This window comes from Homo sapiens, chromosome 17 (genome assembly GCF_000001405.40).
Source record: "Homo sapiens chromosome 17, GRCh38.p14 Primary Assembly".
Taxonomy (NCBI): domain Eukaryota; kingdom Metazoa; phylum Chordata; class Mammalia; order Primates; family Hominidae; genus Homo; species Homo sapiens.
The window spans coordinates 74,567,840-74,595,546 of NC_000017.11; the positions used below are offsets into that span (position 1 = coordinate 74,567,840).

General features: G+C 46.7%; 1 protein-coding gene and 1 long non-coding RNA gene across 4 annotated transcripts, besides 3 other annotated features; one reads left to right on the forward strand and one right to left on the reverse strand.

The window, feature by feature from the left end:
- Positions 1,017–1,747: an enhancer, noted in NCBI's record as "H3K4me1 hESC enhancer chr17:72564995-72565725 (GRCh37/hg19 assembly coordinates)". NCBI's record gives its function as "activates a minimal SCP1, AML or CMV promoter by ChIP-STARR-seq in naive H9 embryonic stem cells {active_cell/tissue: H9 hESC(naive)}" and the evidence as "EXISTENCE:reporter gene assay evidence [ECO:0000049][PMID:30033119]".
- Positions 1,748–2,477: an enhancer, noted in NCBI's record as "H3K4me1 hESC enhancer chr17:72565726-72566455 (GRCh37/hg19 assembly coordinates)". NCBI's record gives its function as "activates a minimal SCP1, AML or CMV promoter by ChIP-STARR-seq in naive H9 embryonic stem cells {active_cell/tissue: H9 hESC(naive)}" and the evidence as "EXISTENCE:reporter gene assay evidence [ECO:0000049][PMID:30033119]".
- On the reverse strand, positions 10,804–24,444 carry CD300LD (CD300 molecule like family member d). Of its 2 annotated transcripts, NM_001115152.2 has the most exons (4): positions 24,324–24,444; positions 20,672–21,010; positions 14,379–14,472; positions 11,526–12,274 (listed from the first exon to the last, which is right to left on the reverse strand). In NM_001115152.2, the coding sequence occupies exons 1-4, from the start codon at positions 24,361–24,363 to the stop codon at positions 12,163–12,165; spliced, it is 585 nt and encodes a 194-aa protein (NP_001108624.1). In that variant the 5' UTR covers positions 24,364–24,444; the 3' UTR covers positions 11,526–12,162. The 2 variants fall into 2 exon arrangements, with proteins under 2 accessions (XP_047291002.1, NP_001108624.1); XM_047435046.1 differs by lacking the exon at positions 24,324–24,444 and having other exon boundaries at positions 10,804–12,274; positions 20,672–21,029.
- On the forward strand, positions 16,840–26,370 carry CD300LD-AS1 (CD300LD antisense RNA 1). 2 transcript variants are annotated; one of them, NR_171003.1, is made up of 3 exons: positions 16,840–17,075; positions 22,680–22,906; positions 24,145–26,370. It is a non-coding gene; the product is annotated as a CD300LD antisense RNA 1 (long non-coding RNA). The 2 variants fall into 2 exon arrangements; NR_171004.1 differs by lacking the exon at positions 16,840–17,075 and adding an exon at positions 17,079–17,150.
- Positions 24,348–24,477: an enhancer, noted in NCBI's record as "active region_12713". NCBI's record gives its function as "activates an Ori minimal core promoter by ATAC-STARR-seq in GM12878 lymphoblastoid cells {active_cell/tissue: GM12878}" and the evidence as "EXISTENCE:reporter gene assay evidence [ECO:0000049][PMID:35858748]".
- Positions 26,371–27,707: the final 1,337 nt, after the last annotated feature.

The following is a 27,707-nucleotide window of genomic DNA, read 5'->3' on the forward strand; positions in this document are numbered from 1 at the left end:
ATGGTGACAGCCAAGCATGAAACGTGGGACCCTTCTAAGAGCCGGGCCTGCGAGACTGCACAGGGTAGGGGCACACCCACGATGCCCGCTGGTCTATCTCTGATCCTTGGTGGTACAGATAGGCTGGGTGCAACCTCAGAGGCTCTGACCTCTTAACCCCTCACTCTTGCTCTGACCTCAGCAGACCCCAGAGGTCCCTGTCTTGGCCACGTGCCTGACTGTTTCCACAGACCTGGCACCACGCAGAGCTTGGTGGACCATCTATAAGCCTTGCTTTTGACCTGTGTGGCTCTTCCTGTCGCCCAAGATGACCACATATAAGAGTTTCAATATATCAAGAGCTAACTCGGGGGAACCTGGCCAGAAGTGTGCCTGATATACACAGAATGGCTGTGGAGGATTTATAAATGCAAGCACAGCTTCAGAAGGCCTCACTCAGGGACTTAGATTTCTGGAACTAGGAGACTCCAAATTCCTGGCATTCTGTTATCAAATGTCTCCTCCTTGGTGTTTCAGTAAATGTGTTTCCTGCTTGTTCATTTTTTGCTGCATGTGGAGTCCTCATATTTCTGTGTGTGTTCACATGTGTGTATATGGGTGTGGTATGAGGGATATATGTGTAGTGTGTGTGGTGTGGGTAGTGTGTGTAGTATGTGTGGTATGTGTGTATGTAGGTACATGTGATGTATGTGCATGGTGTGTGGGATGGTGTGTGTGTAGTGTGTGTGTATGTGTGGTGTGAGTGGTGTGTGTGAGATGTGTGTAGTGTGTGTGTATGTGTGTGGTGTTTGGGGTCGTGTGTGTGGTGTGAGTGGTGTGTGTGGTGTGGGTGGGATGTGTGTAGTGTGTGTATGTGTGTACATGTGGTGTATGTGTGTGATGTGTGGGGTGGGGTGCATGTAGTGTGTGTGTTTGCATGTGTGTGTGGTGTGTGTGCACAGGTGGTGTGTGTGTAGTGTGTATGTGTGTGCACGTGTGTGGTGTGAGATGTGTGTACATGTGGTGTATATGTACAGTATGTGGGGTAGGGTGTGTGTAATGTGTGTGTGGTGTGTGTGATGTGAGTGGTGTGTATGAGATGAGATGTGTGTAGTGTGTATGTGTGTACGTGTGTGTGGTGTGTTGGGTGGTGTGTGTAGTGTGTATATGTGTGCATGTGTGGGAGTGTATGTGGTGTGTGCGTGTCCATGTGTGGTGTACGTGTGTGGTATGTGGGGTGGTGTGTGGTGTATGTGTGTGGTATGTGGGGTGATGTGTGTAGTGTATGTATGTGTGTGCATGTGTGGGCGTGGAGGGTGTGGGTGGTGTGTGTGTACATGTGGTGTATGTGTGTGGTGTGTGTATGTGTGTGCATGTGTGGGGGGTGTGGGTGGTGTGTGTCTACATGTGGCGTATGTGTGTGGTGTGTGGGGTGGTGTGTGCATGTGTGGGCGTGGGGAGGTGTATGGGTGTGTGTGTGTGTACATGTGGTGTATATGTGTGGTGTGTGGGTTGGTGCGTGCATGTGTGTGGAGGGGAAGCAGGAGCTGGGAGTGATAAAGATGTCTCCCCTTGCAGCCTGCAGAGCCGGTTGCGAGCCCCGCCCTCTGTGCCTAGCTCTGGGCGCTAAGGAAAGGCTTGCCTGGCCCTCCCTGACTCTGCGTCAAGGGCTGCTCAACGTGCCTTTCTTGGGAAGAAGGGATCTGAGTCTGTGAAGGAGATGACGCACAGCTGCAGACTTTTCCAGAAAACATTCTCGCCATCCTTGTCTGGACAAACCACCGGGTGCACAGGGTTGTATTAGTCAGCTCTTTCTGGCTCACATTGCCATAGCAAAACTCCTAATCCCAGCATGCTGTAACCACAGAAGCTTGTTTCTCGCTCGTCTATACGCAAGCGGTGAGTCAGCATTGCTTGGGCACCAGGCTGCGGAGCCCAGTCCGCTAGAGGAGAGGGAAGGCACCGGGTGGCTCTCTGAGCCTCTGCTCAGAAGGCGCACATGCGGCTCCTGCTCACCGTTCATCGTCATAGGGTCAAGCCTGAAGTCAGTGGGAAGGAGAAGCACAGTCCTCTTACAGGACAAGGCGGCAAGTCACTGACCACAACCACAGAACCCACTACTGGAGGTTCCCTAACCGGGCTGGAAGGGTGCCCCGCAGCACACCGACTCCGTGCTTCTCGCTCATCCAAGGTCGGGGCAGGGAGAGGCTGCAGGGTCTGCTTAGAAACAGCCTGTGTGTGTTTCATTTTTTTAGCTAGGACCAGACAGTTTGCCAAATGCAAAGGACATGGCAATGCCACAGGGAACCCACCTTTGAAGCAGATGTACTCTGGGCCCTGGAGTCCCCCAGGAGATGACAAATTCCTTGAAGAGATGACCCACATCTGGGACATCCAGGCTTTTTCCATGTCAAGGCCAGCATCTGGAGCCGCTGTCCCTTCCCCAGCAGGCCCTTGTCCTTCTGTCTCTGAAACCTGTCCTGGAAAATGCTGTCCGCTCCAGGAGGGCAGAGCTAGGGGAGGACTGAGAATAATGAACACTGGCCATGAGGCACAGGAGGGCGGGGAGCCCGGGGCCCTGCCTGGCACTGCACCACACTGAGACCCCCACCATCGCTGCCCTTGAGGGACAGCTCTTGGGGCTTCCAGAAAGTTAAGATCTCATCAGTGAGGGGTGCGTTCTTAGGGCAAACTCGGGGCATGTGATGTGTAGGACAGTGTGAGTAGCCCACACATTTCTCTCTGCCTTTCGGGGCTGTGCTTGTCTTTCTGCTTCCTCGAAAACCGTCATCCTCCCTTCTCACTCTCCCAGGATGAGCTCAGACCACACCTCTCCTGGAAGGCATCCCTGCCTGCTCCAGGCCTTCCAGACCCCTCCCTCTGGGGTTCCTGTTACCTGCAATGCTTATTTCTGTATTTAATCTCATGTCCCTGTGCTGTCATTGTCCTGTTGCATGGCATCCATTTCCAGGTGAGGCTGTAGCCTCCACAAAGGCAGGACCAATCTGGGCACCCGGAGACGCAGACAGAGCTCGGCCCCAGCCTTGTGAGCTGAATTGGAGGGTGAGAGCTCCGATCCTTCCATATTTTCCAGGGGAGGGGATCAGGAATGTATTAAGGCATTGGGCCTCTCTTCTCTCACCTCTACTACCCGACGTCAATCCATTTGGGGAGTAGTTCTCAGTATCTTGTGCATCATGGTGAGAATGGGCAAGTGCCCAAGGATGGTGGACCCCACTGCCCACTTTCTTCCCTCCCCACTGGCACTCAAGGGAGACGTCACCAAGAGGGCAGCCTCCTGACCGGCTCTGGGCAATGGATGCCTCTTTGGGATCTTGTTACAAATACAGGGCTCTCTAGGGAGCAGGGTGTGGGGAGGGTCTTCCCAACATGGGGGCTGGGGTGCTATAGGGAGCCCGGCTCAGAGAGGGTCTCTACCTGACTCTGATGATGTGGGCCATGTAGCACAGTGAGGAAGGTTCTGGCCATAAGCTGGGAGCCCTGGCTCAGATTTTAAGGTCTGCTGTTCACTAGTTATATGACTTTAGGCAAATCAGCAAAAGTCTCTTAGCATCAGTCTCCTCATCTGTGAAATAGGAATAAAAATATTCACCCTGCTCAGTCCCAGGAGTTGAGCAAAGGCATTTGAAGGTGGTGGCATCCCTCTGGGAAACTTTCCTCTTTTGATCTTCTACGTACCATGCACTCTGTATATTTAAATCCTGCATACCCATCCCAACACCCCTGCCAGGTCACTTTTAAATAAGATGACTGGAGCTGGAAAGACGAACTAAACTGTCATGATGGGAAGTGGGGAGGTCAGGATTTGAACCCAGGTCTTCGGTGGGGTCCCACCTCTGGCTCTCATGATGCAAGGTACGGATTGCAACACTCAGGCAGGGGTGAGATGGGTTGAGAGATGGCAAGTGGAAGAGGCCTCCAAGTCTTATTTCATTCAATATCTGTTTGCAGAATAGCAGGAAGTATCTTCAGGGGAAATTAACAACACAACAAAGTCTGCTTCTGGGTGTCTGCTATGGATTGATGAGTTCCCCCAAAAATTCATATGTGGAAGCCCTAACCCGTAATGTGGTGATATTAGGAAATGAGCCTGTGGGAGGTAATTAGGGTTAGATGAGGTCATGAGGATCAGGCCTTCATTGTGGGATTAGTGCCCTTATCAGAAGAAGAAGAGAGATCTCACTTTCTTTCTTAGTCCATTTAGGCTGCTATTTTAAAATACCATAGACTGGGTGGGTTATGAACAACAGAAATGCATTACTCACAGTTGTGGAGGCTGGAAAGTCCAAGATCAAAGTGCTAGCAGATTCAGTGTCTGTTGCGCACTCACCTTCTGGTTCATAAAGAGTACTTTTTTTTGCTGTGTCTTCACATGGTGGAAGGGGCAAGACAGCTCTCTGGGGTCTCTTTTACAAGGGTACTAATCCTGTTCATAAGGGTTACACCCCCACAACTGAATTATCCCCAAGGATCCACCTCCTAATACCAACACACTGGGAATAAGTTTCAACACATGAATTCTGGAGAAACACAAACACTCAGACCATAGCACTCTCTCTGCCATACGAGGATACAGAAAGATGGCAGCCATCTGCAAGTCAAGAAGAGAGTCCTCACCAAACACCAAATCTACCAACATCTTGATCTTGACTTCCCAGCCTTCAGAACTATAATAAATAAAGGTCCCTTGTTTATAAACCACTCGGTTTATGGTATTTTGTTACAGCAGCCTGAGCTGACTGAGACAACGTCCTGGTGTCTGTCCCAATGCTTCACCGTTCTGGCTTTTCAGCATGAGTCACCTGTGCTCCTTCTCCCTGGAGGAGCCCTGTCTGGGGCAAGACCTTTGCAGAAACAGTGAGGCTTCTTGTCACTTTCCTCATTTGGAAATCAGGGATTTGGATGACAACTGGATTCCACCAACTGAGGTGTCTCTGAGGCCATTTGAAAGGCCCAGTTAGACAGAGGTTATCTTCCACAGCTCTTAGCCACTGCTGTTGGCAAACAAGGATTAGAAGAAACAGGAGACTTTCATGAAGCAGAGTTCCAGGATATGTTTTCTAGCTTCCTGGGTGACAAGAAGCAGTGAGGGCAGTGACAACTTCTTCATCTGACTTCCATTAGGAAGATTCCTTGGATTGCAGCTTCATAAAATTATTCTCTAGCTTCCTGGATGTGGAAGGCAGTTGCTTGGCAGATACCAAGACTTCATGCTCCCTGTTTGACCCTAGGGGCCTCAAAAGCAGGCTGTTCTGGATGTGAGGGAGGAGGGAGGGACAAGCTTAGGAGCTGCTTCTTCGGCCCTTTCCACAATATTATAAGCACCTAATTCTCTGCATACCTTCTAGTGCCCACCTAGAATGGGCACTAGACCTGAGTGGATACATACTCTTGGAAGGATCCAATCCCAGCAATAAGGTTGTTATTAACTAAGATAAAGGAAACCCACATTATACAGCTCCTCCTGTCTCTGGGTCAAGGGAGAGCGGGCAGGCAGGAGAGTCATCTTAGAACCGCATGCCATGTGTTCTCATTCCATCCAGCAGGTGACTTGTGCCAGGCACTGCTATCTACACTGGTGAACAAGACTGAGGCCCTGCAGGGTCCTGATGGGTACTAGAGGCTCTGGTTCCAATATGAGGAGGATGAACACTTCAGCACAGTTGTCTTTTTAGTAGACGGACCAGGAAATCAGAGGAGCTCTCTGTTACTCCATAAGGGCTGTGGTTCTCAGTAATAACTAATGGCTGTTGTTCTCAATAATAACTAATGGCTGTGGTTCTCAATAATAACTAATGGCTGTGGTTCTCAGTAATAACTAATGGCTGTGGTTCTCAGTAATAACTAATGGCTGTGGTTCTCAGTAATAACTAATGGCTGTGGTTCTCAGTAATAACTAATGGCTGTGGTTCTCAGTAATAACTAATGGCTGAGGTTCTCAGTAATAACTAATGGCTGTGGTTCTTAGTAATAACTAATGGCTGTGGTTCTCAATAATAACTAATGGTTGTGGTTCTCAGTAATAACTAATGGTTGTGGTTCTCAATAATAACTAATGGCTGTGGTTCTCAGTAATAACTAATGGCTGTGGTTCTCAGTAATAACTAATGGCTGAGGTTCTCAGTAATGACCAAAATCCAGCAGCAATGCATTATAGTCAATGGTAGAACACTGCTGCATTTTGGTCATTCCTTGAAACCCATTTGCTTGAAACTCAGTTCTGCTACAATTGCAGGGATGTATGCAGGAAAAATATTAACTCAGCAGGCTTAGGTTGTCCAAAGCCTGCACCTTCCCGAAAAAAGTTTAGCCCTTGCTTTGCTTCTAGGAGATAAGCTCTAAACCCTTGGAATATCCTGCCTGGTTAGATTGTCTTTTTTTATCTGGGGGCTTTGATGCCATGCTGGATAGCTCATGTTAACCATGTGATTATGGTGGGGGCTTCTAGCCATGCTAGATGGTTGATGCTATCAATGTAATTCATGGGTGGGTAGGGGGAACTTTGAGCTATGTAGTTTTAATTTGATCTCTGGCGACTTAGGCACTGAGGTCAGTTCTACAGGTGTTCCATGACTATGTGACTGACCCCAGTGAACTCTCTGGATACCAAGGCTTGGGTGAGCATCCCTGGATGGAGCACTTTGTGTGTGTTGTCACACATTGTTGCTAGGATGGGAGAATTAAACACTGTCTGCAAAATCCCACTGGGAGAGGACAGCTGGCAGCTTGCACCACGCACTTTTTACCTTTACTGGTTTTAATCCATATCCTTTCAGTGTAATAAACCATAACCATGCATATAACAGCTTTTCTGAGTTCTGAGTCCTTCTAGTGTAGCCGAGTCCAAAGCTCAAACTGCTTGCCAAGCAACAGCCAGTAAGTCGAGAGACAAGCTGTTGGGGCAAGGAAGATGGCTTTACAAGGCAGCAAACCAAAGAGATGGTGGACTCATGTCCTAAAGAGCAATCATAAAAGGCATGAACCTCAAGCTTCTTTTTATATTGGGGAAGGCAGAACAAGGAGGAGGTTGAGCCGGGTAGTGACAGGTGACCACAGACATCTGGGTGTCAGCTGAGGAGGTTGCATTAACTTCTTTGTTCTTGGTCAGGTCACAATGCTCCTATAAATCGTTAGCATAACATTGTTACTGTGTGTATGTCTTCCTTATTGCTTCAGGGGTGTTGCAAAGGGACTATTATCATCCTTGCTTTAAAGTGAAACTATAGCCAGGTGTGATGGCTCATGCCTGTAATCCCAGCAATTTGGGAGGCCAAGGCAGGCAGATCACCTGAGGTCAGGAGTTCGAGACCAGCCTGGCCAACAGGGTGAAACCTTGTCTCTACTAAAAATACAAAAGTTAGCCGGGTGTGGTGGTGCACACCTGTAGTCCCACCTAGTCAGGAGGCTGAGGCAGGAGAATTGCTTGAACTCAGGAGGCAGAGGTTGCAGTGAGCCGAGATCGCGCCACTGCACTCCAGCCTGAGCAACAGAGCGAGACTCTATCTCAAAAAAAAAAAAGAAAGAAAGAAAGAAAAGAAAAAAAGTTAAACTATACACTAAATTCCTCCCACAGTTAGTTTGGGTTATATGCTAAAGATATTGCAGGGTAGGGGTGTGGTCAGGAGCAAAATGGAGTTTGTTATTCTAGACCTCCTTTTCATGGTTATGCTAGTGAATCATTAAACCTGGGAGTGGTATTGGGTACCCCCAATAAGAGATGGAAAGTTTGACTGAATTTTAGTGCAATATGATAACAGAGGGGAGAGCCACCTGTTGTGATGATAGGGAAGCGGGGTAAGGTACCATCAAGCTAGCTTCCAGTGAAAAAGAGTGTTTACCCAGGAGTACTAGGTCCCACAGGTACAGGAGGGAGTACGGCAAATGAGGTGAGAAATTCTACTCAAATAGTGGCCAGGCACAGTGGCTCATGCCTGTAATCATTGCACTTTGGGAGGCCAAGGCAGGCCAATCACCTGAGGTCAGGAGTTCGAGACCAGCCTTGCCAACATGATGAAACCCCATCTCTACTAAAAATACAAAAAATTAGCTGAGCGTGGTGGTGCACATCTGTAATCCCAGCTACTCGGGAGGCTGAGGCAGGAGAACCGCTTGAACCCGGGAGTTGGAGGTTGCAATGAGCCGAGATCATGCCGCTACACTCCAGCCTGGGCGACAGATTGAGACTCTGTCTCAAAGAAAAAAAAAAAAGAAAAAGAAAAAGAAAAAGAAAAGAAATTCTACTCAAATAGTGATCTTGTTGGGAAGATGTCCAAGTTAATTCAGTTACAGAGATCAACATCATATATCTTTCATTTCATTAGACTTGTCAACATCTTTCCAAGGAAATTGCTTTTGGATTTGTCATGGATATTCGATTTTGCTTTATTTGTTTGCTATCATTTTTGTAATTAGTTTCTGCTACATTAGACCCTTTATCCATCAATACCACAGTGTTTATTCAAATATATTCCCACTACATGTCTATGAATGTTATTGATTATTGAGTATTGACTAGAGAAAGAATCTCTTATATGGGTAGCAAGAACAGAGAAGTTAGCTTATAGAAAGAATTAAATCAGTAAATTTAGACGCAATTGTGCAAATTAGCTAGTCTTGACAGGAAAGAGAAACTTTGAGATATTCGACAAAATAAGAAAGGAAAATGGCAGAATGAGAATCGATTTGCATTCTTTCAACCATAAGAATGAGGATGTTGATCTGGTTAACTGCCTCTTGCTAGTAGATCTGGGGAGGAATTGGAAAGACAAAGATTGAGGTCGTGAAGGGGAAGAATAAGACAAGTAAAGCACAGTCACGTTGAGCTGCTGGTTTTGGTGACCTATGGCTCCCCGGCGGCTGTGATTGGAGTCTGAAGCTGAGAAGTCATGAGGCTAAATGTCCCGATTGTCTTGCCAAGCTGCTTAGACCTTGCCACTTAGACCTTGTTGCTTAGAAGGAGACACCAGAAACCAGGAACTTGAGGCTGGGATAAAGCAGATGCTTTCTCTCCTGGTGCTCTGGGAAGGGAGTTTGAAGTAATCTAGGCAGCTTGCTGCTTGTGCCTTCATCCTGGCGGGCAAAATCACCTTGAGTGGAGGTAGAACACGTGTATCTGCCAAACTGTGATTCTCTAAGGGCAAGGATTACATCTCTGTTTTTTTGTTTGTTTGTTGGTTTTTGAGACGGAGTCAGGCTAGAGTGCAGTGGCGCCATCTTGGCTCACTGCAAGCTCTGCCTCCCGGGTTCACGCCATTCTCCTGCCTCAGCCTCCCAAGTAGCTGGGACTACAGGCGCCCGCCACCACGTCCTGCTAATTTTTTGTATTTTTAGTAGAGACGGGGTTTCACCGTGTTAGCCAGGATGGTCTTGATCTCCTGACCTCGTGACCCGCCCGCCTCGGCCTCCCAAAGTGCTGGGATTACAGGCGTGAGCCACCGCGCCCGGCCCCCAAAAGGAAACTCTTGATTTGACCTCCTGCAAACTCCCCAGCCTGATCCTCTTCTCATCACAGTAAATTACACCCATGGTCCCCTTTTTCTCAGACCAAACTCCAGTCACCTGGGCAACATCCTTGGCTCATCTTTTGCTCGTGCCCCAGCCATTGTGTTAACCCAAGACCCTCAGATCTGTCCACTTTTCTCCATTGCCCTCCCACCCCCCTCTTTCTCCCTGATTACCACAGGGCCTTCCCTCTTGAACAGGCACAAGAGCTCCCCAGTCTGACTCTTGTCCCTATTCACTGTGGCTAGATTGCACTTTTAAAAACAGTTACCAGAGGCGGGGCGGGTGGATCACCTGAGGTCAGGAGTTTGAGACCAGCCTGATCAATATGTTGAAACCCCGTCTCTGCTAAAAATACAAAAATTAACTGGGCGTGGTGGCATGTGCCTGTATTCCCAGCTACTCGGGAAGCTGAAGCAGGAGAATTGCTTGAAGCCAGGATGCAGAGGTTGCAGTGAGCCAAGATCGCGCCACTGCACTCCCGCCTGGGTGACAGAACGAGGCTCCGTCTCAAAAAAAAAAAAAACAAGCAAACAAAAAAACCAACAATGAATATCATCAATACAAAAACCACCATACTGACAATATTAGTACGGGGAAGAGGATGGTGGGAAAAGAGGAAGATACAGAAGTCCTCATCTTTTGCTGCAGAGAGTCAATAGAAAGATTCAATAATGTTGTTAAAAACAAGATGAGAACGTGGGAGCTCAGAGAGTGTTATGAGTTGGTGGGGTGTCCACACTGGGTGGGGGCTGGGAGCAGCGCTGGTCAGAGCCTGGGCAGCAGACAGGACATGGGTCAGCCCAGAGAGGGGCGGCAGAGCTCATGAAGGGTGAGGCTGGGGGTGGGGGAGTCTGGATAATAACCATGATTTCATCATTTTCTAGCTGAGTGATCCTTTATCTTTGAGCCTGTAGACTGCCTTCACGGCACTTACCCAGGTCTTTTTCTTTATTTCGGTGATAGTTGTACTTGAACAGTGCCTGATACTTAGTGGATGCTTAGTAAATGTTTTCGCTTATTTTTTATTTTTATTTATGTATTTTTTGTGACAGAGTCTCCCTCAATCACCCAGGCTGGAGTGCAGTGGTGCAATCTGGACTTACTGCAACCTCCACCTCCCAGGCTCAAGAGATTCTCATGTCTCAGCCTCCCAAGTAGCTGGGATTATAGGTGTGCGCCACCATACCCAGCTAAGTTTTGTACTTTTAGTAGAGATGGGGTTTCACCATGTTGGCCAGGATGGTCTCAAAGTCCTGGCCTCAAGTGATCTACCCACCTCGGCCTCCCAAAGTTCTGGGATTACAGGAGTGAGCCACTGCGCCCAGCATTTTGGAATGAATGATGGTGGGGAGTGAATAAGGGTCTCACCTGGGTACAGAGATTGACCTGACAGAGGGCAGTTGGGTGATCCTGGTTCATGTTCCCAGAAGGGAATTTCTGTTATTTAGCCTCTGTCTTAACCACCAGATGATCCCACTGGGCAGGGGGCTCAGTCATTAGAGTCCAAGACTGAGCACCACCCTGGGGACCCAGGCAGGCGGTACTGAGGACCCAGCCATCCCCAGCTCACAGTTCTAGCTCTGGCATCCAGTTTATGGATTATGTCACAGTCCCCAAAATGTATGGGTGATCTCCCCATATACCCCAAATTGAGAGTAGCAGCCAACTGCAATACTCTTAAAAGAGGTAAGAAAATGTAACAATCAACACTAATAGAAAAGTCTTACAGTGACGAAAGGAGGCTGTGTTTTCCCATCATCTTCAATCGTACTCATCCAGGAATCTCCTGACTTCCCTTCCCCACAAGTGGCAGGAGAGCAGCTGGCACGGCAGCCCGGAAACCTCTGCTCTCTTCTGTACTCATCTTCCCTTAAGTTGGCCCATTACCAGAGTTTGGTTCCGTTTTTCTGTTTTCATGGGTTTAGGATTTTGAAACCCATTATTGACTGGAGACTTGAACCCCACGGAATGCAAAGACAGGTCCGTTAACATTGCATGTGGCTCACAGACCTGAGATCACGAATGTCCACTACGGCATAGGTGCCTCTCGGGGGAAACACATTCTTCTCATGTTTTCTACTGCATTGGAGACCTCAGAAGGAAGAAGGGCTCTGTCAGGCCCCAGGGACTGTGCAGAGAAGGGAATAGCCCCAGGTGGCACGGCTGCAGGAGATAGGGGACTAGGAGGCTGTTCCCTGAAGCTGGGGCCAGCACTGCCTCTAGAACCACAGTCAATTCCCCATAGAAATGTTGTTTTTCTGCCAGGTGCGGTGGCTCACACCTGTAATCCCACCACTTTGGGAGGCGAAGCGGGAGGATCTCTTGAGGTCAAGAGTTCGAGACCAGCCTGGGCAACGTGGTGGAAGCCCATCTCTACAAAAAAATTTAAAAATTAGCTGGGGGTGGTGGCATGTGCCTGTAGCCCCAGCTACTCTGGAGGTTGAGGCAGGAGGATCGCTTGAGCCTGGGAGGGGAAAGTTGCAGTGAGCAGAGATTACACCATTGCATTCCAGCCTGGGTGACAGAGCAAGACTCTATCTCTAGAAAGAAAAAAAGAAGAGAAAAGAAAATGTTTTTTCTTCTGTGGGAGGGCCTTTCGCCCTGGACAGGACGTCAATGGGCATTGGGACTCTCATCATCGGGCTGACTCCTCCTCCTTCAAGACCTTCTTTGTGGTCTGTTTACCCAGAGGACGGTCCCCAGCATGCTCAGGAGCAGAGGCAGCTCCAGGAGGAACAGGAACAGGAAGTGGGTGCTCTTGAGCGGGGACCTGTGGGAACACGGTGACAGGAAATGAGCTGCCTCCTGGGTCAGAGGTCTCAGGTCTTCTCAGCTCTATGCCCAGATCCTGGCTTCCAATGTCTATGTGAGGGTAAGCCTGGAACCCCAGACAGGCCAGCCCCTTTGGTGGGGCACAGTCACACTGCTCACCAGCGAGGCTCCCAGTCCTCCCTACACCTCCAGTAAACTCAGCCTGGCATTCAAGGTCCCGTCTGCCAACTCCCATCCGGCCTTTTTGGCTGGTCTCCCATAACTCCTCCTCACCTATCTTGAAGGGGTTTAGCATTCCCTGTCTCTACTTACCTCGGCTTCTGCTGCATTCTGCACCCAGAGGGCCTCTCCGCCCTCATCGCTGCCTGTGCAAACGCTACCCACCTTTCAGGTATCAGATCTGACATCATATTCTTGAAGGCCTTGGAGGCTGACCTTGCTCTGACCCTCTTCCTGTGGACCAGCACCTGGCCCTGGGGTTCCTTATGTTCCCTGTTACTTTCTATGGATGTGTAAGGCCCAGAACCTTATTGACCATCAATTCCACCCCCTCACCATCCTCCACCCACTTCCCAGGGTCTCGACCTCCCAACTTGGGCCTTCGTTGTTTCTTTCACCTCAGCGCAACTTGAAGCCACTCTCAGCTCACGGATAAATTTTAAAAATCAGGCCAGGCGTGGTGGTTCGCACGTGTAATCCCAGCACTTTGGGAGGCCAAGGCAGGTGGATTGCTTGAGCCCAAGAGTTCAAGACCAGCCTGGGCAACATATTGAGGCCCCATCTCTAAAAAAAAAAAAAAAAAAGACAGAAAAGAAAATTCAAAATTATATCCAACTCCAGAATGCCGGATGAGCCCTCAGATGATGGGACTGAGGGTATTTGGGGGAGATGGAGGAGGGGCTATACAGCAGGCCACGGGTCAAAATGCCCCCAAAGGTCCTTCCCAGCATCTTCACTCTTGGGGCTCTCCTGCTACACCTCTGGAGTCCTTTGCCCTCTGTCCCCTGACAGCTAAAGTCCCATCAGTTTGCACAAAAGCATGGAGGAGGAAAAAAACAAACAAAAAAAAAACAGTCGAGGAGTCCTAAAGCCAGCTCCGTGGGTGGAGCTCTGCAGATGCATTCTCAGAACTCAAGATCGAGTGAATAAAAAAAAAAAAACAGAGTTGAACTGCAGAGGGAACTGGCAGACCTTGAGGAGTAGTTCCAGGAGGACTGAGCCAGAGACACGGGCCTCTGCGCTGGGCTCTAGCAGGAGCAGGACGGTCTGTGGTTTGGGCTCTGGCCTTGACCTGGGGGGCTTGACCACAGCAGGCCGTGATGGAACCCAACGGCTAGCTATCAGGTGCCGACCTCTGGGGACTCCTCTGGACACCTCCAGGGCTGGTGAGCATCAGACTAATCCTCCAGACCCCTCTGCCAGCTTGGGAGGGTGAGAACGCCAAACTTCCAGCTTCCCCCTTTCCCTCTAGCATTTTCCATTCCCCTACTCTGGTGTCTTGGGAGAGAGAGGCTGGAACAATATTTGTTCTTGGGCAGAAACTAGGAGCAGATGAGAGAGGTGTCTCTCCTAACCCACTAAAGGCCAAACCTCGATATGCCCTCTTGACCCCAGGAGGTGGGGAGGGCATGTTCAGGCCCCTCTCCTGCCACCTTCAGTCATGTGGTGGCTCATGTCTGTGCTGCAGAGTTTGCCTTCATGTAGCCAACACTTAGATGGGAAATCTTATTTTCCTCAAAGGTAAACTGAGATTGGGGCAGGCCATCGGAGGTTTGCAGTGACTTTACTGATACAAAGACGAAACAGCAGGGGCCTATGGGGGTCCCAGCCTGAGTACCCCCAGAAAACAGGGCTATCAGAGTTAACAAATAAAAGCATAGAATGCTCAGTTAAATTTGAAGTTCAGATAAACAACATATGCTTTTTTAGTATAAGTATAGCCCATGAAATAGTTGGGATATACTTATGCTAAAAAATGTTTTGTTGTTTGTCTGAAATTGCAGTGTAACTGGGCATGCTATTGTTGTATCTGGCAACCCCTGTTAGAGGAGAGGCCATGGGGCCAGGCCTGTGCGAAAGTGGTGGGACCTGGCTCCACCTACCTGGTGAGGGGGCTGCTGGTCTTCTGGGTGGCTGCAGCTGTGAAAGCCAGGCTTGCTGTTGTGGTTGTCCATTCTGAGACTGCAGTTTGTGTGCCTAAACATACAAAGCAGAACACGGTTCACCCCTTCCATGGATGGCCCAGCTCTGGCTGTGGCCCTAAGGCTTCTCCACCTAGGAATTAAGGAGCCTCTGCCTTGGGGTCCAAGACTGTCTGGTCAGCATCCAAAATATTACATGAATTATCTTCTAAAGAGAAGTTACTGAATTATTACCATGTGAGAAATTCTGAGGAGCAGACTAAGGAGGGAATTTGCAATCATCAGTTGCATGGCACAGCTTAGCACACTCGATAGCATTCCGCTCTCCTCGGGCTAGGCTAGCTCTTTTCTGAGTCTCGGCCACAGCCGAGGTGAACTCCTTACCGCCTGTTCTGGAGTGATTCGGCGGCTGAGCTGGTGGCCCCCTCGCTGAGCCACTTCTGGAGAGCCCCGGATTCCTGGCTCTCTGCAGCCAGGCCCAGCGCCCTCCACCTCCGCTCTTCCCTCTCTGGCCGTTTCCTGTCTTCCAGCAGCTTCCCAATCTCACCCTCCCTACCCCTGTTGAAGTCTGGCTATGTCTGATGCATCCCAGCCTCTGCTGTGTGCCAATTCCTGCTGGACCACACCCTACTCACGCTGACGGTGTGTGTAGTGAGTTTTGATATTCAAAGTTTGCTTCAGGAGCAATCTAATAATAAGAGATCACAGCATCATATTTGTCTTTTTATATCATTTTTCTGGGATTAAATCAAGGTATAACTGACACATAATAAACTGTAAATATTTAAAGAGAACAATATGTTAAACTCTGATGTATGTGTATACCCGGTAACACCACCACCATGATCAGGACAGTCAACACATTCATAATCCCCATGCCCGCCCTCCCCCTTACTCTGTCCCCAGGTGTTAGGGACTGAACTGTGGACCCCTAAAAATTATATGTTGATATGCTAGTCCCCAGTACCTCAAAATGTGACTATATTTGGAGATAGGACCTTTCAAGAGGCAATTAAGTTAAAATGAGTTTGTTAGGGTAAGTCCTAATGCCATCTGACTGGTATCGTTCTCTGAAGAGGAGATGAGGACACACAGGGAGACACCAAGGCATGCGAGCACAGAGGGGCAACCGCAAGAAGGGGTAGCAAGAAGGCAGCCACCTGCAAGCCAGGGAGGGAGGCCTCAGGCTCAACTGAACCTGCCAACACCTTGATCTCGGACTTCCAGCCTCCAGAACTATGAGAAATACGTTTCTGTTGTTTACGCCACCCAGTCTGTGGTATTTTGTTGTGACAGCCTTAGCTAAGGGATGATCCATTTTCTCTTACTATCTATGAGTTGGCATTTTCCAGAATCTAATATAAATGGAATCATACAGTGTAAATCAGCTTTTGAGCTGGTTTCTTTCACTCAGCATAACTATTTTATCATTGGTATATCAGTAGAACATTCCCTTTTATTGCAAGTTGTATTCCATTGCATGAGTATTTCACTTTTTTTTTTTTTTTTTTTTTGAGACAGAGTCTCTCTCTGTCACTCAGGTTGCAGTGCAGTGGCATGATCTTGGCTCACTGCAACCACTGCCTCCCAGGTTCAAGCAATTCTCTGCCTCACCCTCCCAAGCATCTGGGACTACAGGTTAGTGCCACCATAGCCAGCTAATTTTTTTTTATTTTTAGTAGAGATGGGGTTTTGTCATGTTGGCTAGGCTGGTCTCAAACTCCTAGCCTCAAGTGATCCACCTGCCTCAGCCTTAACAAAGTGCTGGGATTACAGGCGTGAACCACCACGCCCAGCCTGTATTTCACATTTTTAAAAAAATCCACTCACTTGAATTGTTTCCAGTTTTTTGCTATTACAAATAAAGCTGCTATGAACATTCACATACAGGTCTCTGTGTGAACATAAAACTTTCTATTATTTTGACTAAATATGGAAGTGCTGAGGGGCTGGATCATCTCTGGCGGGCATACATTTCATGTCTGAAGAAACTGCAAACTCTTTTCCCAGGTGGTTGCATCATGTGCATTCCCACCTGCAGGGTATGAGGGCTCCAGGTACTCGAGAGTGTTTCCAACACTTGGTGTCAAGGTCAGTAATGTTAACTTTTGTTACAGGCCGAAAGAATGAGAGTCATGACCAACACAGTATAGCACTGGAGGCTATATGAGCGAACAGAAAACTGTTCTCATGAAAGCAGGATGTTGGAAAACTGGCAACGGTGTCTGCTGCCCGAAGGGGTGCTGAGGGCAGTCACACCCCAAGTGCTGTGTTCCTTGTGATTATCTATAGGAACATCTGAAGCCTGTTGTACAAAGAAAGCTATTGTGTGTACCTGTAATAAATCAAGCAGCTGACCAACCATTACCTCTCCCTCCCTTCTCTTTCTACCTAATAAATACGAAGGGCTGTAGAAGCTCAGGGCCCTTGTTCACTAGAAGCAAGGAGCTCCCTGACCCCTTCTTTCAAAACAGATCTCTTTGTCTTTGTCTTCATTTCTGCATTCGTCCCCCCTTTGTTCAATCCCCTAGCAACCAACAGCGACAAGTGGTGGCCGGGACAGGAACGTGAGCAAAGAAGGTCTGCTGGAGCAGAGAAAGAGAAACTGACAAGACGAACGAGAAACCCTGGAACAAGTCTGCCGGCAGCCAATAAAAGGTCAGTGCCCTAAAGAGGTACTGGGAGCGGCAGCAGATACAAGATCAGTGCCCTAAAGAGGTACTGGGATATCAGGTCAGTGCCCTAGAGAGGTACTGGGAATGGGAAGTTTTCTGAATAAGGGTAACATGGGGCAGAATTTGTCTATTGAGGTGCAACATTATGTGCATTTGCTTAAAGTTTTACTTAAACAAACTGGTGCTCAGGTTAGTTCTCAAACATTAATTAAGATGCTGAAGAAGGTCACTATACATAACCCGTGGTTTCCACAGACAGGCAGTCTTGATGTAGAAATTTGGGACAGAGTAGGACCAGGATTAAAACGGGCTCACCAAAAAGGTCTTAAATTTGATCTTTTTGTTTTTTCTGCTTGGAGTTTAGTCCGTGCTGTCCTCCTGCCATTATCTTCTTCTTATTCTGCTAGACAGCAGGAATCATATTCCAAGTCTAAAAATCTGAAAAAATATTTTGTCCCACCCACAGTACCAATTAAAAATAATAAACAGGAGAAGGAGGATGAAAACTGGCCTGTGTCACCCCCTCCAGTAGCAGAAACGTCTGTACTGCCTCCTTCAGTAGCAGAAATAGAGACCCCAATACAAAGAATTTTATGCTCTGCTGCTATAGCTGGAAAGCCCTTAGGACCTTGCGCTTTTCCTATTTCCATAAGGCCCGATCCAAATAATCCTCAGCAGTTTATTCATGAACACACCCCACTACAGTTTAAGTTGCTGAAGGAATTGAAAGCGAGTGTAGTTAATAATGGAGTACAAAGCCCATTTACTTTAGGATTGCTAGAATCTATATTTGGTGCTATGCGCCTTCCACCCTTTGATGTAAAGCATTTGGCTTGCACTTGTTTGTCTGCTAGTGCATACCTGACATGGAATTTAAATTGGCAAGAACTGTGTGCAGACCAGGCTAGACAGAATCATGCTGCTGGACACGGAGACATTACAGAGGATATGCTGTTAGGTAATCGTCCTTATTCAGACCTGGAACATCACATGGCACTCCCAGACACTGCTTATAAGCAGTGTGCCTTGGCTGCTAAACATGCCTGGGCCACAATTCCTGAGGAAGGGGTCCCAGTACAATCTTTTTTACATATCATGTAAGGGTGGCCAATGCACATTTTCTTGCAAGATTACAAGAGGCGGTGAAGCATCAGATTCCTCATACTGCGGCTACAGAAATGCTAACCTTAACTCTAGCTTTTGAGAATGCAAATGCAGATTGTAAATGTGCACTGGCATCTGTGAGATGTACAAAAAACTCGGGAAATTTTCTCAAAGCTTGTCAAGATGTGGGAACTGAACTTCATTGCTCTACAATGTTGGCTCAAGCAATGGCTAATTTAGTAGTGGACAAATCTAAAAACGGCCAAGGAGCAAATCCTAAAATGGGAAAATGTTATAATTGTGGAAAAATCGGACACTTCAAAAAAGAATACCGTCAGACCTTTGGGCAGAAGGGATCTTATAATGCAGCCCCCCACCCCAGAAAAAATGCCAGGACTTTGCCCTCATTGCAATATAGGAAATAACTGGGCTAGTCAATGCCACTCAAAATTTCATCAGAATGGCACCCCCCTGTCGGGAAACGAGAAGGGGGCCTGGACCCGGGCCCTATAAACAATGGAGGCATTCCCTGTCCAGCCCACAGCCCCATCTCAGGGATAGGTTCCCGGAGGCACATTGATTCCCTCTCCCCAGGAACACCTGGAAGCTCAGGATTCGATCTCCCAGTCAGAGAACAGGTAACGTTAGTGGGAGGAGACAAACCCACCAAGATTCCCACTGGTATTTGGGGACCTTTGCCAACAGGATATATGGGATTAATTTTGGGTAAAAGCTGTCTTAATTTACAGAGCATTACCTTAGTCCCAGGAGTTATTGATTCTGATTATGAAGGAGAAATTCAAGTAGTGGTAATGTCACAAGGTCTTTGGGTTTTTGAACCAGGAGAATATATTGCTCAGCTACTGCTTATTACCTGCCAGTTACACCCTTCTTTACGGAGGTTGGGAGTTCGAGACCAGCCTGACCAACATGGAGAAACCCTGTCTCTACTAAAAATACAAAATTAGCTGGGCATGGTGGTGCATGCCTGTAATCCCAGCTACTCGGGAGGCTAAGGCAAGAGAATCTCTGGAACCCAGGAGGTGGAGGTTGTGGTGAGCCGAGATCGTGCCATTGCACTCCAGCCCAGGCAACAAGAGCGAAACTCCATCTCAAAAAAAAAAAAATTGATATTATCCGGTCCTGAACTCACCAAAGGGCCATCTGAGCCTGAAATTTTCTTCGTGAGAAGATGGCAAATGACAAATTCTATTTCATTAAAAGATATAGAGCTATTCCAGTTATCTATTTCTTCTTGTGACTGGTAGTTTGTGCCTTTCAAGGATGTTTTTCCATTTCATTTAACTTGTTGAATATATTGGCATAAAAGTTGTTTACGACACATATTCCCTTATTATTCTTTTAGTAGCTATAAAATCTGTTGTAATGTTACCTCTCTCATTTCTGATGTTAGTAATTTATATCTTTTTCCTGATCAGTCTAGGTAGAGGTTTAACAGTGTTTCTGATGTTTTCACAGAAAACATATCTCATTTCATTGATTTTTCCCTATTACTTTTGTTTTCGATTTCATTAATTTTTCATTGTGGTCTTAATATTATCTGTGTTCTGATGTTTGCTTTGAGTTTACTTTGATCTTTTTTTTCCCTAGTATCTTGAGCTAAGGCCATTGACTTGAGGCCCTTCTCCTTTTCTGATACAGGGACTTAGTGCTATAAAGAAGTTCCAAGAAGGCACTGGCAGGGATTGGGGTCTCTGGTTACCAGGGAAGGGGGTCCCTTTGGCCTGTGGGCTGAAACTGGAACCATCACCCTGTCATCTGTGGGCAACAGACTCAGGCACTGAGCTGTGCAGAGAAAAAAAAAATGTGCCTAGAAAGACTTAATCCCATCCTGGAGGGAGCCCTGGGAGCCATGGGGTCATTAAGAGATCCCCTCAATCCCAAGCGGTCCTTCAGGGTCCTATGAGACCTGTCTTAGTCTACTTTTTCTTGCTTATAACAGAATATCTGGAATTGAGTCATTTATAAGGAAAAGGAATTTGTTTCTTACAGTTATGGAGGCTAAGATGTCCGAGGTTGAGGAGCCACATCTTGTGAGGGCCTTCTTGATGGCAGGGACTCTCTGCAGAGTCCCAAGGTGGCTCCAGGCACCTCGTGGTGGCGGAACTGAGTATGCTAAGTCAGGTCTGTCTGCCTTTTCTTATAAAGCAGTTCCATTCCCATGATAACCCATTCATCCTTTAATCCACGAATGGATTAATTCATTCATGGGAACTCTGCCCCCATGACCCAGTCACCTTTTAAAGGCCTTGTCTCTCAATACTGCCACATTGGGGATTAAGTTTCAACACGAGTTTTGGAGGGACAAATATTCAAACCATAGCAAGACCTCAGGACTCAGACACCCTCTGTCACAGGTCACTCTGAGTGACAGTTAATTTACTCAAGTGGGACCTCAGGGACCAGGACAGAGCAGGACCTGAGAGACACACACGTATATACACTCCCTCTTACCTGGGTTAATGGTCACTTGAACTTTGACCCCAAGATCAATTCCAGGTCTCTCAGTCCCACACCAATAACTGTCAGCATCATCTCTTTTGAGATTCTCCATGGTCACGGTGAACACGTGGTTTTTCTGATTGTCCCTGATGGAAACTCGATTCTTCTTTACCTCCTGCTCTGATCCATTTGTTTTAACAAGGATGTTACAGTAATTCCAATCAGCTCCTTGACACCGCCACTTCAAGTAGGTCTCCCAGCCTGAGCCATAAGCACACTGCACAGTCAATGAGCCCTGCTCCGAGCCATTCACTGTTGTTGGACCAGTGATTTTAGCGGCAATGGAGTAACCTGGAAAACGCAAATTCATGTGTCGTCACCTCCCACCCCAAGGGCAGGGCCACAGCCTCGTGCATTGGGAGTAGCAGCCAAATCCAACTGCCTTATAACAGTCAAGGAAGCAATACATTTTCCTCAAGACAAATCTTTGTCCTTCAAAATTCCACTGGGTCAAAGTCACCAGGAAAATCACTGAAGAGCACAACTGCAGATCCCCAAAGAAACACAAATGTTGGCATTGAGCAATAATAGCTTCCTGCAGTTCACCCCTCTCTCTTTCCCTATGGCCAGCAAATCTTTATATTCCAAGGAATGCTCTTTGGCAACCATCTTTGTGTTATACTGGTCTGATGGGGAGGAAATGGCAGAAGGCCCTTTTCCAGAAGAATGATTGCTGCCTTGATGCTTGGCTGTTCCTAGTGGTTCTAATGGTTTCTGGTGGCTCTGCTGTAGTTAATCACCCTGAATGAATCCCTTTGAAATCAACCAAATAGTGATGCCAACTGGTCTCTATCTGCTATGGGATCCACATCACACAGATCTCCATTTCGCCATACAGTGTTATAAATTCCACTTCCAAAATTCCTAGGAAAAGCTAACTTTTAAGATAAACACAAGTAAAGGTTAGGTATAAACAGAGCAGCACCCATTCAACACCCTTCTGCATCTTATAAGTTCTTCTCTAAACATAATGGACATGATTCAAGTCAGTTAAAGGGTGAGGAACGGGCATACCTAATTAGCTCCACTTTTCAAACAATTTGATCCAGGACAAGACTAGTCTCCATGAACTTGTCAGCCTAATCTTTCACTTGAAAACAATTCAAAACAGTGGAAATACCTTAAGTGAGAGCTTTGCCAGAAATTCTTTAAATTCAACTGACCTAAAGGGAGACCCATCTAAAGAAACGATTGATTTTGATGATTTATGCACTGGCAATAAACCATAGCTGTGATTAGTGCAGCATAAACTTGAGATGGAACTAGAAGCACATTGGAGCACTTGAAGAAGCCCTGGGGGCAATTCCTGTGGCAGGAGAGAGGTTGTCTCTGAAACGCCAAGAGACACCCAAGGTCGTGGGTAAGAGCTCAGGCTGTGCCAGAGTGCTTGGGTTTGAATCCTGGCTCTACCACTGATAAGTTTTGTGAACCTGGGCAAATTAACCTCTCTGTGTGATACGGTTTGTCTGTGTCCTCACCCAAATCTCATCTTGAATTGTAGCTCCCATAATTTCCACATGTTGTGGGGGGCACCAGTTGGGAGTTAATTGAATCATGGGGCGGTTTCCCCCACATTGTTCTCGTGGTAGTGAATAAGTCTCATGAGAGCTGATGGTTTTATAATGGGAAACCTCTTTCACTTGGCTCTCATTCTCTCTCTTGCCTGCTGCCATATAATACATGCCTTTCACCTTCCACCATGATTGTGAGGCCTCCCCAGTCATGTGGAACTGTGAGTCCATTAAACCTCTTTTTCTGTGTAATTTACTCAGTCTCGGGTATGTCCTTATCAGCAGCGTGAAAATGGACTAATACACTGTGACTTCGTTTTCTATAAGTGGGAATAGTAATGGCATCTACCTCTATGTTACTATATTATGTTTGTTATTATTATTATTATTATTATTACCCCTGGATGAATGAAAACTTTAGACTTCATTGGAATGTCTTGAAAAACCAGGGTCACCATGGTGGGAGCGGAAGACAATTTCACCATAAACAGGCAGAGCTCCACAACCCAAGGAATTCCTGGAACAGAAATTGGACTCCATGCCCAAATCTGCTTTCTATGGCATCTGAAGGGAACTAAGAAACTACACACGACCTCCTGGGGAAAGATGGGTATAGGGGCTTCATTTGTTCACTCTGAAAAAAGTTCTACATCAGAATGGAAAGACAACAATTAAGGTAAATATTTAAAGAAAAACTACATCTGGAAGTTATTTATAAGAAATAAGAGCTGGGTGTGGTAGCTCACACTTGTAATATAACAACTTTGGGAGGCTGAGGCAGGAGAATCGCGTGAGCCCTGGAGCTTGAGAGCAGCCCTGGCAACATAGCGAGACTAAATAAATAAATAAATATTAGCTGGGTGTCGCACCACATGCCTGTAGTCCCAGCTACTCACTCAGGAGGCTGAGGTGGGAGGATGGCTTGAGCCTGGGAGGTCAAGGCTGCAGTGAACCCTGATCCCAGCACTGTACTCCAGATTGGGTGACAGAGCACACCCTGTCTCAGAAGGAAGGAAAGGAAGGAGAATATATCTGAAAATTGTTTACAGAATATAAATTTGAAGCCAGGCATGGTGGCTCACACCTATAATCCCAGCACTTTGGGAGGCCAAAGTGGGAGGATCACTTGAGCCCAGGAGTTTGAGACCAGCCTGGGCATGAAAGTGAGTCCTCATCTCTACAAAAAAAAAAAAAATAAAAATAATAATAATAATAATAATAATCTATTTTAAAAGAAAATAAATTTGAGATTGGAAGGAAAAATTTTCTTACAAAGCTTGATCTGAGTATAGATAATATGAGAAGCACATAGATTTGTTACATTTTAACAGAAATGAAAACACTACGTATCAAAATTTGTTGACATGACAGCCAAAGCTGTACTCAAATATAAATCCTTGGGAAAAAGGTTTGATGCTTCCTCAAAAAGTTAAACATAGAATTAACATAGGATTCAGCCATTTTACCCCTAGATATATACCCAAGAGAACTGAAAACATATCTCCATACAAAACTGTGCTATGAAAGTTCATAACATTATTACTAACAATTTTTAAAAGGTAGAAACAACCCTAAGGTTCATTGACAAATGACTGGAGAAACCAAATGTGGTATATCCACTGTGAAATACTATGCAGCCATGAAAAAGAATGAAGCTTTGATTTGTGCTACAACACAAAGTAACCTTGAAACATCATGCTAAGTGAAAGAAGCACTCCAGCCTGGGTGACAGAGCGAGACACCAGCTCAAAAAAAAAAAAAAAAAAAAGTTCTTCAAGAATGGACTCACTCATTAGTTCCTTCCTTCATTGATATCTGTTCATTCATCTGTTTATATGGAACAGTCAGGGTTGAGAACCACTGTTCCAACAAGAAGCTATACTTGTTTTGTTTTGTGTGTGTTTGTTTCTGCAGCATCTAACACAGAACCTGTCAGATAACAAAAACTTGATTGCTATTTAATGAATATGGGCATGGATGGATGAATTGGCGCTGTCATTTTCCCTGACATGTCTCCTTCCTGAGAACAGAGCGTCTCTGTCTCCAAGCCAGCCGCTGTCATTCCAGTGCCTTAAAGCTCCAGCCACACTCACCTGGGAGGATGAGAAGCAGCAGAGATGGGGACAGCCACATGGTCCTGTCTCCTCTCCTCTCCTTGGTGATCACAGGTGTCTGGTGCCCTTCAGGGACTTGAATCCAAGCTCGGAAGTCAACACCGCAAACCTACTCGAATCTCCTTCAAGTCTCTTGCTCACTTCCTGTTACATCTGTAGCTACTTCTCTTTTTACATATTAGGAGAAAAGAGGTGTCATTCTTTGAAAAGACTAAGGTACAGTGTATGTTGCAAGGTGTGCCCAAACTTTTGTGCATGTGGAAAAGAAAATGTGTCCGGGACTGGTCAGGTTTGCACGGGAGTGCACGTAGGAGCCAAGGAGCAGGAGGAGCCAGGAGGAACCCAAGCATTGAGGAGCTGCGGGATCTACTGCCTGGAGGAGAGGACGGACAAGGCCAGCCATGAGGAGTGCAGGGAGAGGAGCACTTTGGGAAGACCACAGTGCACAGGACTCACACCCAGCCTTGCTGGAGAAAGCCCATGCCCCAGGCTTCTTCCAGGCAGCCCCACTGTAAGACATCTCATTGCCTCTTCCTGCCCTGGGCTGTCTGACCCACTGCCCCTTCCCCCAGGAACACTTCCACTGGGATCATGAGTCACTCTGAAGCCACTCTGAAATCACTCTGAAGCCAAAGCTGGGCTCAGTGGGGAAGGTCAGGAATGGAGAAATTGCCTTTTCTCGTTAGCCTCCTCTTGCCCTGATTTCATCCTCCCTATCCCTGCACACTTTCCCCTGGCTGCTGTTGTAATCTACTTGTTCTGCTGACGCCCGAACTGACTTCTTTCCCGGTCTCTCCCCACTTTCTTTAGATGGTCCCTTCCCTCTTTCTCTCCCTTTCCCTCCTGAATCGATTCATTTTTTCTCTCCTGTTTTATATTTTCCATATCTGTGGGCTTTGTTCTACATTTGGGGAGCTTTTTATATTGTTTATTTCATGCTTGTACTTTCCCTTCCAATCCTTGGATCAAATATTGATTTTAGAGACTGTATTTTTATTTCGAAAAGTTTTTTTGGTTCTTTGATTACTGATGTTTTCAAACTCTCTTCTGTTCCTTGAACTATATCCCTCCACTCAGTGGTCACATCTTTGTTTTGTTGTCTGCTTCTTCTATATTATGAGCCTTCCTCAAGTGTCTGCTGATTCTTGGTTATCCAATCATAGTTGAGAACAAGATAAAGTGTAGCTAACTGAGACCTCAGAGTATGTAGGAGTAAATAGTATATAAAATAGCTCTGGTGGCTCATGCCTGTAATCCAGCACTTTGGGAGGCCAAGGCGGACAGACCACCTGAGGTCAGGAGTTCGAAACCAGCCTGGCCAACATGGAGAAACCCCATCTCTACTAAAAATACAAAAATTAGCCAGGTGGTGGCACACGCCTGTAATCCCAGCTACTCAGGAGGCTGAGGCAGGAGAATCGCCTGAACCTGGGAGGTGGAGATTGCAGTGAGCCCAGATTGCACCACTGCTCTCTAGCCTGGGCAAAAAAACTAGTTCCAAAAAAGACACTTGTACACGCATGTTTATAGCAGCACAATTTGCGATTGAAAACATAGGGAACCAGCCTAAATGCCCATCAAGCAATGAGTGGATAAAGACAATGCGGTGTACATATACACCATGGAATACTATTCAGCCACAAAAAGGAACAAAATAATGGCATTCACAGCAACCTGGATGGAGTTGGAGATCATTATTCTAAGTGAAATAACTCAGGAATGGAGAACCAAATATTGTACATCCTCACTTATAAGTGGGAGCTGCGCTATGAAGATACAAAGGCACAAGAATGATACAATGGATTTTGGGGACTTAGGGGAAAGGATGCAGGGGATGAGGGATAAAAAACCATACATTGGGTACAGTGTACACTGCTCCAGTGAAGGGTGCACCAAAATCTCAGAAGTCACTGCTAAAGACCTTATCCTTGTAACCAAAAGCCATCTGCTCCCCAAAAACTATTGAAATAAAATAAAATATAAAAAGAAAGAGAAAGAAAAGAAAATAGTTCCAATTTATCATGCCAAATTGTTTGAACCCTTGATTCTTTCTTGACTTACAAGCTACACTTTAAGGGGCGTGGGCAGAGAGCGGTCTTCTAAACTCTAGACTGAAGAGGATTGAAGTTGAGCTCCAGCATTCTCACTGCCATGGCTTCCCAGATATTACATTAAAATAAAGAATTCCTGCTCTTTTGCCTGGGGGTCAGTGCCTGCCTCCAGGCATTTGGGGTATATGTAAAGATGTACATGTTTGGCCGGGCACAGTGGCTCACATCTATAATCCCAGCACTTTGGGGGGTCGAGGCGCGTGGATCACCTGAGGTCAGGAGTTCAAGACCAGCCTGGCCAACATAGTGAAACCCCGTCTCTACCAAAAAATACAAAAATTAGCCCAGCATGGCAGCGCACGCCTGTAATTCCAGCTACTTGGGAGGCTGAGGCAGGAGAATCACTTGAACCTGGGAGGCGGATGTTGCAGTGAGCCGAGATCACACCATTGCACTTCAGCCGGGGTGACAGAGTGAGACTCCATCTCAAAAACAAAACAAAACAAAACAAAAACATGTTTGTGGAACTGCTCCATGAACAAAGCTCCAATTGGGTCCCCAGTCTCCATTCCCACTTCTGACCCACACTCTTCATCACACCTGCTGGCTCTGAGTTCAAAGCCTCCCCTGAGTTTTATCAGGTGGGTCAATTAGAAGTAGGAGTTGCAAAATGCAATTTATTTTATCTGCCCTTTACTCTGAGGGTACACCCAATATGCCCCAGACCACCATACCCCTAATCTTTTGACACGGCAGGCCCCTAAACCAGTGTAGGGTTTATCTCCCAGCCTCTGGAGCACATCCAGTTGCTAGCCTCTTCTTGTTATCAGGTGCAATTAGCATGATGTCATAAACACAGGGGACTACCTTTATGTTCTGGGCAATGGCTGGACGATTCAGGTTTCTTAGAACAATACTACAAGGAGAAGAAAATTAACACAGTCCTGGAACAAGACTGTGAAAGTATACTGTTGTCCATGCCAAGCGAATGCGCCTGCCTCTGTTCCTCCTTCCTGATGGTGGCGGAAAGGATGCTTTTGCCAGATCAACAGTCACACACAACACACCAGGTTATGCTCATCTATTCTAGTAAACCTGTCACTGTTGGCACAGAAGCTGGAAATTTGGCTATTCCTTTAATATGGTGGTGGGTTTGTTGTTGTTTTGTTTTGTTTTGTTTTGTTTTGTTTTGTTTTGTTTTGTTTTGTTTTGGAGACAGGGTCTCACTCTGTTGCCCAAGCTGGAGTGCAGTGGCACAATCATAGCTAGCTCACTGCAGCCTCCAACTCCTGAGCTTCAGTGATCCTCTTGC